General features: G+C 38.1%; 1 protein-coding gene and 1 pseudogene across 10 annotated transcripts in view; both read right to left on the reverse strand.

Moving 5' to 3' along the window:
* The window catches only part of B4GALT6 (beta-1,4-galactosyltransferase 6), a 102,396-nt gene that overhangs the window by 37,795 nt on the left and 50,725 nt on the right, over positions 1 to 13,876 (reverse strand). For 7 of the 10 annotated variants that reach the window (XM_005258387.5, XM_047437943.1, NM_001378110.1 and 4 more), the window contains one exon: positions 6,216 to 6,332. The exons of 2 other annotated variants lie outside the window; for them this stretch is intronic. In XM_005258387.5, the coding sequence (XP_005258444.1) occupies positions 6,216 to 6,332 (117 nt within the window). One more of the 10 variants, XM_017026090.2, reaches the window with a different exon arrangement.
* LOC124904361 (uncharacterized) lies at positions 9,249 to 9,338 on the reverse strand (annotated as a pseudogene).

Here is a 13,876-nt window from a genome sequence, read left to right on the forward strand (position 1 = left end):
TTCCTGGGCTCAAGTGATCCTCCTAGCTCAGCCTCCCAACTATTAATAGCTGGAACTACAATCATGCACCACCACACCCAGCTAATTTTGTATTTTTTGTAGAGACAGGGTCTTGCCAGGCTGGTCTCCAACTCCTCGGCTCAAGCAATCCTCCCACCTCAACCTCCCAAAGTGCTGGGATTACAGGCGTGAGCCACCATGCCTGGCCTGATTCTTTAAATATATATATCTACATATATACCAAAATTCTTGTTTTTTTCTTTTTGTTTTTGTTTTTAAAAAAAGGGCTTCTCTCTCTATGGGGACTCCTACCTTGCTAGTGGTAGCAGCAAGTGCAATAAGCATGAATTGGGTTTCTGTCACTCCCACCAAAACTGCTTAAGATTACTATTGTTATGAGTTTTGTGACAGTGTCTAGTCAAGTTCATTGATTTACACCTTAGAGTTACTTATTTATCTTCAATATTCCTGGAAAGGAAGATAAGGCATTCTTATTTGAGGGAGACAGTAACAGTAAGAAAAGAAAAAAAAAAGAATTCTTAAAAATAAGTTTGCCAAAATTTAAAAAATCAAATCAAAGCATTGTAGTAAAGTCAGAGCAATCTCCCAGAAAGATAGAAAGGAAAGAAAAAGAATTGAAAAACGAGAGAGAAATAATACATAATAGGAGTTCCAAAAAGAAAGGAAAATAATAGGAAGACAAATTATCAAAGAAATAATATAAAAATATTTTGGAGAAATGAAGGGTAAGATATTCCATACTGATAGGACTGCTCCCAGCAAGAGAAGAAAAACAAAGCTCCAAGATGCTCTTTGTAAAATTTAAAAATACAAAAAGATCCCAAAAGTCTCCAGAAAAAACTGGTCCATGAACAGTAACTGCCATCAGGATGGTCAACAGACTTCTCAAAAGCAGCACTGGAAGAGAGAAGACAATGGCATGGGAATTTTGGAAACCCCCCCTTAGCGTGGTCAACTCATGTGCCTAAGGGAAAATCAGCGATAGATTAAGACGGCTCTGCAAATTGGGGGGAAAAAGAGTTAACAAGTAACATCAACAAAAATAAACAGATCTACAAAACGAACAATCACAACTAGACTCAGGAAAACAAACCATTATCTACATTCTCTTAACAACATCAACAATACCGATTTGAATTTAAATTGTGACATAATTATATTGGGGATAAGGATAGGAAAAATTGGGGTGAGACTATAATACTAAATGTCTTTCTTCCATAACAAGAGTAGTTTAAATTGATAAATCAAGAGACAGCAGGATAGAAACATAAAGATAAATACAGAATAAATTGTTAGTTCTCTGAGGATTGGGACTCAGGGAGGAGTGAGCTAGGAGACTGTTATTACATTATACCCTTTTCTACTATTAAAATATAAAAAGTTCTACTTAAAAATGCAAGAATATGAATAAATGAGCAGTTAAAACAATAAATATTGAATGGCAAGTTCTTCATTAATTAGCTAGTGTGCGCTCTCGCTCTCTCTCACACACACACACACAGAGTTCATATTATAGCTTTTGTTGCACATACCACCAGAAAAAAAGATGGGCTAGCTATATAGAGATGATAATTTTTCTGAATCTCTTCAATTTTTACTAAGGACATACTATACACTACACATTCACAGGAATGAGACAATAAATAAGGTTGTCCTTGGATGTACAACTATGATATAACAATATTTTAAAATACAAAAGAAAAAAAAGTAAGTTTGTCCCTGGGGGTCATCTGCCTTGAGACGTTACAAGGCTCATTTTCTTATAATCCTGAGGCAGAAAAATATCTACATTTTCATTCAATCCTTTTGTTAATGTCATGCATTAACTTTAAATAAGAGTATTTCCTTACTCTGCATAATTTATTAATTTCATCATTAATGCTTGGGCTCCTTCTCTTAGCCACATGCTATGATTCTCTGAACCCACATCCAACTCACAGAAGTGCTCGGCTCTCTAGACATTTCTGCAAAACAAACTATTAACTCCTTCTGGGGAGTCAGATGGCAACAGGAGGGCCAGAGAGAATTGTTCTACTTTTTATTTTAGTGCTAGAATGACTGAATCACAAGAGTAAACATTCCATCACTTTTATCAGTTTTTAAAGAACCACATTTAAGTGCCTTCAAGTTACGCAATATCATTATATTCACTTCATTGAATACAAAGTTTTAGAGCTAAACATCTGCTATTCTTGGCCACCTCCTAAGGAGCTCAACTCACTGCCAGACTTAGAGAAACACCTCCACACTCCTTCAGTACTCTGTCCGGTGGTATTTGTGTCTTCCCAATGTATTATGTGTATATAGTCTATCCGCCACCCCGGCCATTATTCTGAATATCTCTTTTAATTGAAATCAAATTATCTTTGATTTCTAGCACCTAATAATAGTACCTACAACATAGTAGGAACATACTATAAATAAACACCTCACAAATGATAATACAGCCAATAATGATTTAAGCTTTTGGAGATTTTACTGTAATAAACCCACAAAATTGGCTGGGCGTAGTGGCTCATGCCTGTAATCCCAGCACTTTGGGAGGCCAAAAGGGTGGACCACAAGGTCAGGAGATCAAGACCATCCTGGCTAACACGGTGAAACCCCGTCTCTACTAAAAATACAAAAAATTAGCCAGGCATGGTGGCGGGCGCCTGTAGTCCCACCTACTTGGGAGGTGGAGGCAGGAGAATGGCCTGAACCCAGGAGGCGGAGCTTGCAGTGAGCTGAGATCATACCACTGCACTTCAGCCTGGGCGACAGAGCGAGACTCTGTCTCAAAAAAAAACAAAAACAAAAAAACCCACAAAATCATTATTCCTACAAAAGTTGTTAGGTGAGCAATGTCCATCATGTATAACCACTGCTTTCAAAGTCAGGAAGCATTTTAAAAGGTTATGTATGACAGATGCATTTGGGAACCACCACAACTGCTATAAAAGGTAGACATTATTTCATCTAATGAATGGATAAAAATAAAATGAGCTCTGGGCCCCCTGCTTTCTTCCTCCCTTCCAGAAACACAACCAAAGAAAAGGCAAACAAAGAATGAAAACTGCCAGATGGATCCCCTACTAATTCTCACTGGACCTTATCACTTAAAGGAAAAGGAGGACAGCACCAAAGAACACCTTTTAATGGCTTTATTTTGCTGCGAAACAGCAGCTTAAAACAGGTGTTAGAAACCGATGAGAGTCCTAGTCTGTTTCCCACTAACTTGTCTTGTCAGTCTGGCAGTGTCTGGGGGCCTCAATTCATGTACCCATCAAATGAGGAGGCATGCTGGGTTATTTCCAACAAACCTATCCACTCTAACATTGCATGGCCCTTATCTGCTTCAGTAATTAGATGAATTCACTGAATACGTCTTGTTTTCATAATTTGGCTCTGTGGGCTACATGGCACCATCTGATTATGAGAGTATATAATTTATTTACAAAAATAGTATACATCTATTTATATTTGATGCCACAGAAAGTCAGGTATAGGATTAAAAACCCCTTTTGGAAATCAAATGTGCTTATAACTATCACAATCTATTTATCATTTAGTGTTAAATTATAAATGAGCCACTGCATATTAATCAATTCCCCTCTAGAGCTCAGTTAGCTTTTTGTACACCTTATAGGCCATTATCTTCTTTTTTGGATATTGTATCTATAGAAGTCTATGTAGAAATAACCAGTTGCATTATAAATAACTATTCATGTTTCCATCTCTCCCAGAGGCCTAGAGATCCTCATATTAAAGGAGACTGTTTTTCTTAATATTGTGTCTCCAATATCTGGTTAAATATACTAACTATAATAATTATTCGTAAATGTTGGCTAAATGAACATGGCGGAGCCTCATTGCTGACTCAAACTCCATTCTTCCCTTTCCCCGTAGGTAACAGAATGCCAGTTTCACTAGAGTTCCAGCATACTCTGGTCAAGACTATATTTCCCAGTGTTATCGCATGTGGCCATGCAATTAAGTTCTAGCCAATTAAATGTATGAAGAAATACTGTGTGGGACCTCTGGGAAGGCTCCAGAAAAGAGGTACCTTATTTGTTCTTCTTTGTTCTCGCTTTCCTCCTTCCTACTGACCCAAGTTCAAACAGCAGCCATCTTAGACTATGAGTTAACCATGGAGCCACATGACAGATGGCAGAAAATGAAAAGTGTGTGATGACTTACTTTAAGGAGCCTCCATAACAGCCACAGATATCCAACTTGCAGAGTTCTTTCACATGAGAACAGAAAGCCTCATGTGTTTAAACCACCACAGGCAGGTCTCTGTTACATCCAAACCTAATCCCTAATGTATACAATGACTGTTTCCTGAGAACAGTTTTACCATTAGTAAAGGAACCCTATGAAAAGTTTTCAAAGTTTCATAAAAGTAAGCAAACTTTAATCTAAGTATGCATTGGTTCTTTGGTCTTTATTGAAACTATGACTTGGTGAGAGGAGGAAAGGATTTTCCTTTTTTTTTTTTTTTGGTTGCAGGATACTATGGGGAAAGATTGTCTTGCCCATGTAATCATTCCTCCTAATCAAGCTCAACATCCACACATATACCTTATTCATACCCCAGGGAAAACAAGCTGATATGCACAAATTTTTAGCACTCACACAAATACACCAATTTAAAGATGTCTATTTCCTTTCAGTTGAACAAACTTTCAGTGAACATTTTTACAATCAACTTATTCAACCAGCACAAATCCTACAGAAGCTTTTAAAATGTTTAAACTTCTAAAATTGACCTACTATTCAGAAGACTCATTCATGCTAAAGAATAGTTAATGAGACTTTTACTGTAGAATTAAAACATCAACTATGCTGAGGCAGTTCTTCTAAAAAAATTCCTTCAAGGTTAAAAAATTAAAATAAAACAAGAGTGTTTTGATTTGTGGCATCATAAACATATTAGGCAAATGACTAGAATGGATTTTATAGAAGCACATGTGATATTAAATTGAGATCAATATGTCACAGTCTTGAATTTTTAGAAGGGTCTAAAACTATCACCCACCTTGACATACATTTAAGAAAGAACATCTACAGCTGAAAGACAGACTTTCTCTTAGTAGAATGTGTAGGTTTACAGTGACACAAGGAAGAATTACTAACACAAATTAAATCTTTATTTTTAACTGTTCAAAATGAGACCATAAAGGGTACAACAACTGACAACCCCACTGAATCCTTTAAAGTAACACCTAATAATACCCTGGCAGACACTGTGGCAACCCTGCCATAAACGAGCATTCACATTCTTCCACAATAGTGAAATCTATTTACATCAATTCTACCATCATTAAATTATTGGTTCAGCCTATTAGATTTTAACCTCCTGGAATTCTAATGGAGCTTCTACTTCCAGGTAACATTTTAAAAAGACAAGAGTAGGCCGGGCACAGTGGCTCATGCCTGTAATCCCAGCACTTTCGGAGGCTGAAGCGGGCGTATCACGAGGTCAAGAGATTGAGACCATCTTGGCTAACATGGTGAAACCCCGTCTCTATCAAAAATTTAAAAAAAAATTAGCCGGGCGTGGTGATGGGCGCCTGTAATCCCAGCTACTTGGGAGACTGAGGCGTGAGAATGGCGTGAACCTGGTAGATGGAGCTTGCAGTGAGCCAAGATTGCGCCACTGCACTCCAGCCTGGGCAACAGAGCGAGACTCTGTCTAAAAAAATAAATAAGTAAAATAAAAAGGAGTAGCTACCAATTTCCAATTTTATAAAATTTCTCCTTTAGCTCCTTAAAAAGGCCATAACACTATTAACAATCTTCTATAATTAAAAACAACTATTTTCTAGACCTAGTTGGAAGAACAACTTAGGAACTAGAATGAACATAAAGAGAGATGGTAGTATGGCTTACTAAGATGAATAAATTATTCTCTGGTTAATTTCTCTTAAATACAACATACGAATTGAAAAAGTAGAAGCTGCTTTCTATATTTTGTTTACAAGAATTAACTTAAGTGTCTGTACAAAACCTCATCACTTTTGTGACCACACGTTCATACATCCTAAAATAGGTAACAGTCTTGATTTGCACAGTAAAATAATCTACCAGGACGCTTAGGGGAAGATACCTTCTTCATCTTTAACAGGAAGTTACCTGAAGGCAAAACAGACTGTAAAAGATTTGGTTTACTGCTTTGTAACTACAAGGGGTTAAGCAGGAAGTAGTCTTACCTGTACCGTTGAGCGTACTGTTTTTATTTGTGTACAGCCTGATCATATGACCTATTGTTTTCACATTTTCTCTCAACATTATACCTCGAGCTTGTACCATAAAGAGATATGTGTTGGCTATAAAAGAAAAATAGAGAAAGAATGTCATAACACAGTAAGCTTTTTTTTATTTAATAAAATAATATTCAGAATTGGGGAAGTGCCCAATAAACATAAACTGACTCAATCAGCACGTCCAAACGCAAAACAGAAATATAAAATATTGCCTACTATAAAAACTGACAAAAACAAACTGATTTTTTAAGAATAAAAACAAAAAAAAAGTTGAAATACCCACCTATCAAATAGAATGAAACTAACTGAACAAACTAAAATATTATAATGAACCCCCACATCTGTGATTTTCTACTATAAAATATACTTAGAAATTTCAAAAAGGCATTTTATTACAGATGCTCAATCCTACAGTTACAAAATTCAGTTTCTCTAATTATATATTAATTTCCTACCAAAAACTTCACAAAAGCTAGGATTCCTTATAAATCCCATAATATCTAGTAGGAATAAAGATCTTGCAATGGTCCTGAAAATTCTTGATGTGTTTGCGGGGAGGGGTGATCTAGGATCAGTATCTGTTTGGGTCATTTCTAAGAGTTAATTAAACTTTTACACTCCCTTTCAATCACAAATCTTTCTACCAGGATGGTAAAAGCAAATAAAATCAAAATCAATGTGTATTTTTAAAGCAGCTCAATTTAATTATTCACAATAAGTGCTTCAAAAATAGGACCCAAATTTCTTCTGCTGGGAGAAACTGGTAAATTGACAAAGCTTTATCGCAAAAATCCCTAACTTTTGAGATGTCCAGACTCCCCAGAGGCACAGAACTAAGTCAGAAACTCCTTTCCTGGTCCCAATTCTGTTAGTGCTGTGCATAACTTTGTACAGCTCCTTGGATCTCAGTTTCCTCGTTTTCACAAGGCAGGTGTGCAAGTAGTGCATTCTTCTTTAAAGTCTCTAAACACAAAGCTAAAAAATCATAAACTCCATTCAGATGAGAGGCAGAGGCTCACTATCATGGCAAAAACCAAGAAACTGCAAGCCTCAGTGAATGACTCAATTTTAAGATAAGCTGTCTCTGAATACAGTAATGACACTCTCCAAAGATGAATGCTGAATGAAAAAAATTAGGAATGCTGACTAATTTTCTAAGTGCTGCTCCAGTTTCTCAAGATGGAATAGAGGGATGAGAGAAATTTAATGTTTACTACCTTCTTTCCCACTTTTTATGTAAATGTGAACTTGCTCAAAGTACATATGAAGAGAGCATAAATTAAACTACTAGAAAAGCAGAGTAAAATAAAACTTTTCTTTCACCTCCAGAAAAAAGAGACAAACAGAAATCCAGGTTTCACATAAGCTTTACAGATACCTTTTTTAAAAGCATGTCTACAGGCTTTCTAGAAAGTAGTCTTATAATTAGATTTAACTTGCCTACACCTGAATTTACTATACTAGTTTACAAATACAACACATTTTGACTACATTTTTGTACTTAAGTGGACTTTAAAAGAATGAAGACTCACGCCTGTAATTCCTGGGAGGCCGAGGCGGTTGGATCATGAGGTCAACAGATCGAGACCATCCTGGCCAACATGGTGAAACCCCATCTCTACTAAAAATACAAAAAAATCAGCTGGACATGGTGGTGCAAGCCTGTAACCCCAGCTACTCAGGAGGCTGAGGCAGGAGAATGGCTTGAACCCTGGAGACAGAGGTTGCAGTGAGCCGAGACTGCGCCACTGCACTCCAGCCTGGGCGAGGGAGCAAGACTCCATCTCAAAAAAAAAAAAAAAGAATGAAGAACACAGTCATAAAAAAGAACAAAATCATATGCTTTGCAACAACATGGATGCAGCTGCAGGCCATTATCCTAGCGAATTAACACAGGCACAGAAAACCAAATACCGCATGTTCTCACTTGTAAGTGGGAGCTAGACACTGGGTACTCATGAACAAAAGATGGCCAGCAACAGAAACTGGGGACTACTACAAGAGGGAGGGACAAAGCGGGGCAGAAGTTTAAAACTACCTATTGGGTACTATGCTCACTACCTAGGTGGCAGGATCAATCATACTCCAAACCTCTGCATCATGCAATATACCCATGTAACAAAGTTGCACATGTATGCCCTGAATCTAAAATAAAAGTTGAAATTATTTAAAATAAATAGACCATATGGGGGAAAAACTTATTCACACAATTTAAATATATATTCATAAGTAAGGTTTGTGGGTTTTTTGCCATCTATGTTTTTGTTCTTAATGTTAGTTTCATAAAATAGACTGTACACATTGCTGTCATTTTCTTAACTCTGCAACAACTGATATAGTGTGGCAGATATTAAGCCCTTAAAAGTTTGAATTGACTTCTCATAAAAAGTCATCTAAAAGTTGTAATCTGGCCGGGCGTGGTGGCTCATGCCTGTAATCCCAGCATTTTGGAAGGCCAATACAGGCGATCTCTTGAGGTCAGGAGTTTGAGACCAGCCTGGCCAACATGGTGAAATGCCGTCTCTACTAAAAAAATACAAAAAAAAAAAAAACTAGCCAGGCGTGGTGGCGCACGCCTGTAACCCCAGCTACTCGGGAGGCTGAGGCAGGAGAATCACTTGAACCCAGGAGGCAGAGGTTACAGTGAGCCGAGCCAGGACTGCGCCACTGCACTCTAGCCTGGGTGACAGAGTGAGACCCTGTGTCAAAAAAAAAAAAAAAAAAGTTGTAATCAGACACCTGTTCCAATTCCTCTCTGTCCATGTATCAGTTTGTTGATTTGTTGAATGCCTGCCCTCTGCCAGAAATTGTATTAGGTGTATTTCAGTTTCTATTTATTCTTGATACAATTTGGAGTATTTTGTCCCAGAGATTCAAAGTTTCATTGAGATATTCAAATTAGGTAAAGCTGTGCATAACTTACGTAATTTTCGAATCTCTTCTACTTTTGATTTTTAATTGTTTTCTCCCCTTTTGTATTTAAATTTGAAAATAAACATGTCATCCTTGTGCAGGGGCCATGTTAATCTCTGTATTGTTCCCATTTTTGTATATTTGCTGCCAGAGCAAGCACTCCCTTTTATTTTTATAAGACTTGTCATATTTGTGTATTCCATTGCTTATACTTAAATAATCTGTCTTGAATATCTCAATTCTTTTTTCCTCTATTTTTAAATGTATTAGTTCCTGATCTTATTCTTGTATAGACTTTTTTCTAATTTCTTAATCCATATTAATTTTTTCATAATGAAAGTATCTACAGCAACAAATTCATCTTTGGTAACTACAAAAACATGGAAGAAAAGAGACGAAGAGAAAAAAGAAAACTAAAAGAACAGCCAACCAAAAATGCAGGAAAATGTTCAATAGAAGACAAGCTAACATTAACAACTCCGCCTAAGTGAAGACCCAAAGTTCAACTGAAATTATCTGGGTGGGGCAGCATCACATAGATTACTAATGACACCTGGTTTGCAGCACCTTGGATTATTTAATCCTAAAGTTACATATGAAATTTGTTGTCAGTAATATAAACATCTTATATTTGTGCTACACCAAACTGTGAAAAGAAAACCTGCCACAAAGTACTAGAACTCAGCCTAAGGCAAAAAACTTGTACTTCCAGGACTGACCCTGGCCTAAGAAATGAGATGCTAAGTAGAAGCATTATATGCATTATTATGTTTCCTGGAAACAACTTTTTAAATTATACAACTTGTAGGTAACAAAACTGTTAAAAATGATGATCTTTTTTTTTTTTTTGAGACAGGGTCTCACTCTGTCATCCAGGTTGGAGTGCGGTAGCTCCACCTTGGCTCTCCGTAACCTCCACCTCCTGGGCTCAAGCGATCCTCCCACCTCAGTCTCACAAGTAGCTGGAACTGCAGGCACCTGCCACTATGCCCACCTAATTTTTTGTATTTTTTGTAGAGACAGGGTTTCTCCATGTTGCCCAGGCTGGTCTCGAACTCCTGAGCTCAGGCAATCCGCCCGCCTCAGCCTCTCAAAGTGGTGGGATCACAGGCGTGAGCCACCGCACCAGGCCTTTAAAATGATTTTTTATGGTACCTCTAACAAAGGTGAATTATTTACCAAAAGAGTGCATTTACTATTCATTAGATGAAGACCAAAATTAAGAAAAGCAACACACCAATTTCTCCAAATAGAAAATCTATTCCTTTATTCCAAATCATTTACAGCTAATTGAGTTACATTCCTCAGGTTAATGGTCCTCATGGGTTTAATCCCTAAAGACCAAAACCCATTAGGGAATGAAGCTGTGTTTAAACAGAAAGTGGCTGTTAACCGGAAGAAAGTGCTATGTCACAGGGTTGCAAGACACACTAAACCAGCATGAGAATGGTTCCAATTGTCTGCTTTCCAAACATAAAACTATGTTAACCCAAATCCAAAACTTGCTTATTAGTAGTAGTATAAAATGTAATGTCTTTTTTTTATTATTATACTTTAAGTTCTGGGGTACATGTGCAGAATGTGCAGGTTACATAGGTTTACACATGCCATGGTGGTTTGCTGCACCCATCAACCCGTCACCTACATTAGGTATTTCTCCTAATGTTATCCCTCCCCTAGTCCCCCAACCCCCGAGAGGCCCCAGTGTGTGATGTTCCCCACCCTGTGTCCATGTGTTCTCATTGTTCAACTCCCACTTATGAGAACACGTAGTGTTTGGTTTTTCTGATCTTGTGATAGTTTGCTGAGAATGATCGTTTCCAGCTTCATCCATGTCCCTGCAAAGGACGTGAACTCATCCTTTTTTATGGCTGCATAATTCCATGGTGTGTATGTGCCACATTTTCTTAATCCAGTCTATCACTGATAGACATTTGGGTTGGTTCCAAGTCTTTGCTATTGTGAACAGTGTCACAATAAACATACGTGTGCATGTGTCTTTATCATAGAATGATTTATAATCCTTTGGGTATATGCCCAGTAATGAGATTGCTGGGTCACACGGTATTTCCAGTTCTAGATCCTTGAGGAATTGCCACACTGTCTTCCACAATGGTTGAACTAATTTACCCTCCCACCAACAGTGTAAAAGTGTTCCTATTTTTCCACAACAGCTCCAGCATCTGTTGTTTCCTGACTTTTTAATGATCACCACTGTAACTGGCATGAGATGGTATCTCACTGTGGTTTTGATTTGCATTTCTCTAATGACCAGTGATGATGAGCATTTTTTCATATGTCTGTTGGCTGCATAAATATCTTCTTTTGAGAAGTGTCTGTTCATATCCTTCGCCTATTTTTTGATGGGGTTTTTTTCTTGTAAATTCAAGTTCTTTGTAGATTCTGGATATTAGCCCTTTGTCCGATGGATAGATTGCAAAAAATAAAATGTAATTTCTTATTGGCAAGACTTTAGGTAGAGAAAATCCTTGTCTAAAATATCTATTCCAATTTATAAGAAACCCTCATTTCATAAAACTAATAGGGAAACCTACCACTGCTTAATTAAAACCATGCTGTGTGTTCTCTAATTTCATTCATTTTCTATTTGACTCTGCATTGTGAGACATAAATCTAACTTCTTTACCAGTTCTGCTTCCCAGAGGGTAACAACATCAGAAAAAAATTTAAAAAATAGAAAGAATAAAACCTATCTTCAACAGTTTATGAAAGCTTTTGGGCCAGGCATTCTATCCTGAGTTTATGAGGCAAACTTGTCTAATTCTTCACTTAAGAAAATTAAGGGACACATCTGCTATAAAACTGTGCCTCCCAGCCCCTTTCCACATCCAGCTTTGCTCACTAACAGTGCTGTAAGGATTCAAGATAAGAAGAACATGCCTGCCTGCAGGGATCTAGAACTGTTTCCTGGGCTTTGCAGGACACCAACGCAGCATCCCTGTGATCCTGATATCTCTGTTCCTAGCTGCTATGACATGCTGCCACAGTTCCCAGGTCTCTTAACAAAAGTCTAGTGAATAAATGATTTTGAGAGGGAGATGATGATCTTGGTCAGGCAATCTGGGATGCAGTTATAAATGTAGGACTGAAGCTACAAGAGGGCTAGAAATACCATTTGGGGAGACATTCAATAAATGTAAAACCTGGAACTATCGTGATAAATTCCCAGAGGAAAAATTATCCAAAAAGGAGATAAGAAGGTGAAGATCTGATGTATGAAGACAGACCACAAATAGGCAGCACAAAGATAAAAGATCCCAAAGTGAATTAATCTCAGCTTGAACACAGTGAAAATGCTAATGGACTAAAGAAGAGGGAGAGGTAAACCACGTGAAATGCTGCAGATGCTAAGGAGAAGGACTTAAAAACAACAGCTTAAAAAAATTCAGCATACTCTCTTTGTCAAGCATACTTTACATATACTAACCTATGTAATCCTCACAAGCAATTCTATAAGGCAGGTACTATTATTATCCCCATTTTTCAGATAAAGAAATTGAAGCATGGAGTTGCATAACTTGCCACAGGTCACAGAGTTGTTAGTAAGTGGTGGAGCCAGAATTCAAATCCCAGCAGTGTGGCCCCAGCAAGCTAGCCCTTGACCATCACACCATTTAGCCTCTTTAAAAAGCCTACAGGAGATCACTGTAAGCCTTTAAGACAGCAGCTTCAGGAAGCAGTGGAAACCAAAGGAAAATAGTAAAGATTTCAGTGGATACTGACAAAGTGAAAGCAGCAAGTTTCAGAAAAGGAAAATAAGTGATTAGCAAGGTCAAGGGAAGGTTTTCTGGAAGAGCAGGGCCCTGAGCATGTCAGCAGCCTGAGTGGAAAAAAACTAGAAGAAAGGGTGAATAATTTCAGGCACTAAAAGAAGCAAGAGGAAGGAGAAAAAACCATTCTGTTGGTGGGAAAGTTTAAGCAGAGGCTGAAGTGCACAGGGGCAGTGCACACCCAGGGAATGACAATCTGCCCTGAGTGGAGATGGGTAGTAACGGAAGTTAGGAAGGGTCAAGCAGATGGAGAGTTTAAAAAAAAACAAAGGAGAGTGAAAGGACGAGAAGTCATTGTGAGGATGAGACATAACTGTTAACAGAGGTGAGAAAGTTCCAGAAGCAGAAGGTTAAGAAGGCGTGGTCTGGAGAGGTGCAAGGGAGAGCAGGCCACAGCTATGCTGACACCCAGGGCATGCCCAGGCGGAGTGAGGGCAGAAGACAAGAGCTAGACATCCTGGTGGTCAGCAACGAGGATGGACACGGGGGACAAAGTGGAAGGCAACATTCAGAATTGAGCACTGACTGCCGAAATCGTCCAGGGATATAGAATCTTGGCAGGCATAGGTTTCTGAAGAGCAGAAGATGAACTAACATTTACTAAGTGCTGAGTTTGGTCAGGCACTGAGCTGAAGTCCACATATAAATATATGTTAAGTACACATACACAATTATATTTCCTTTAATTCTTACAACCACCTGGAGTTGGCTGACTGGAAATCCCCAAAAAGATATGCCCACACCCTAATTCCCAGAACCTGTGAATGTGACACTCAGAAAGGGGTCTTTCCAGATGCAATTAAGCTAAGGATTCTGAGATGAGGAGATCATCCTGGATTACCCAGGTGGACCCTAAATCTAATGGCAAGTACTCTTCTAAGAGAAAGGTAGAGATTTCACACA

Source organism: Homo sapiens, chromosome 18 (genome assembly GCF_000001405.40).
Source record: "Homo sapiens chromosome 18, GRCh38.p14 Primary Assembly".
Taxonomy (NCBI): domain Eukaryota; kingdom Metazoa; phylum Chordata; class Mammalia; order Primates; family Hominidae; genus Homo; species Homo sapiens.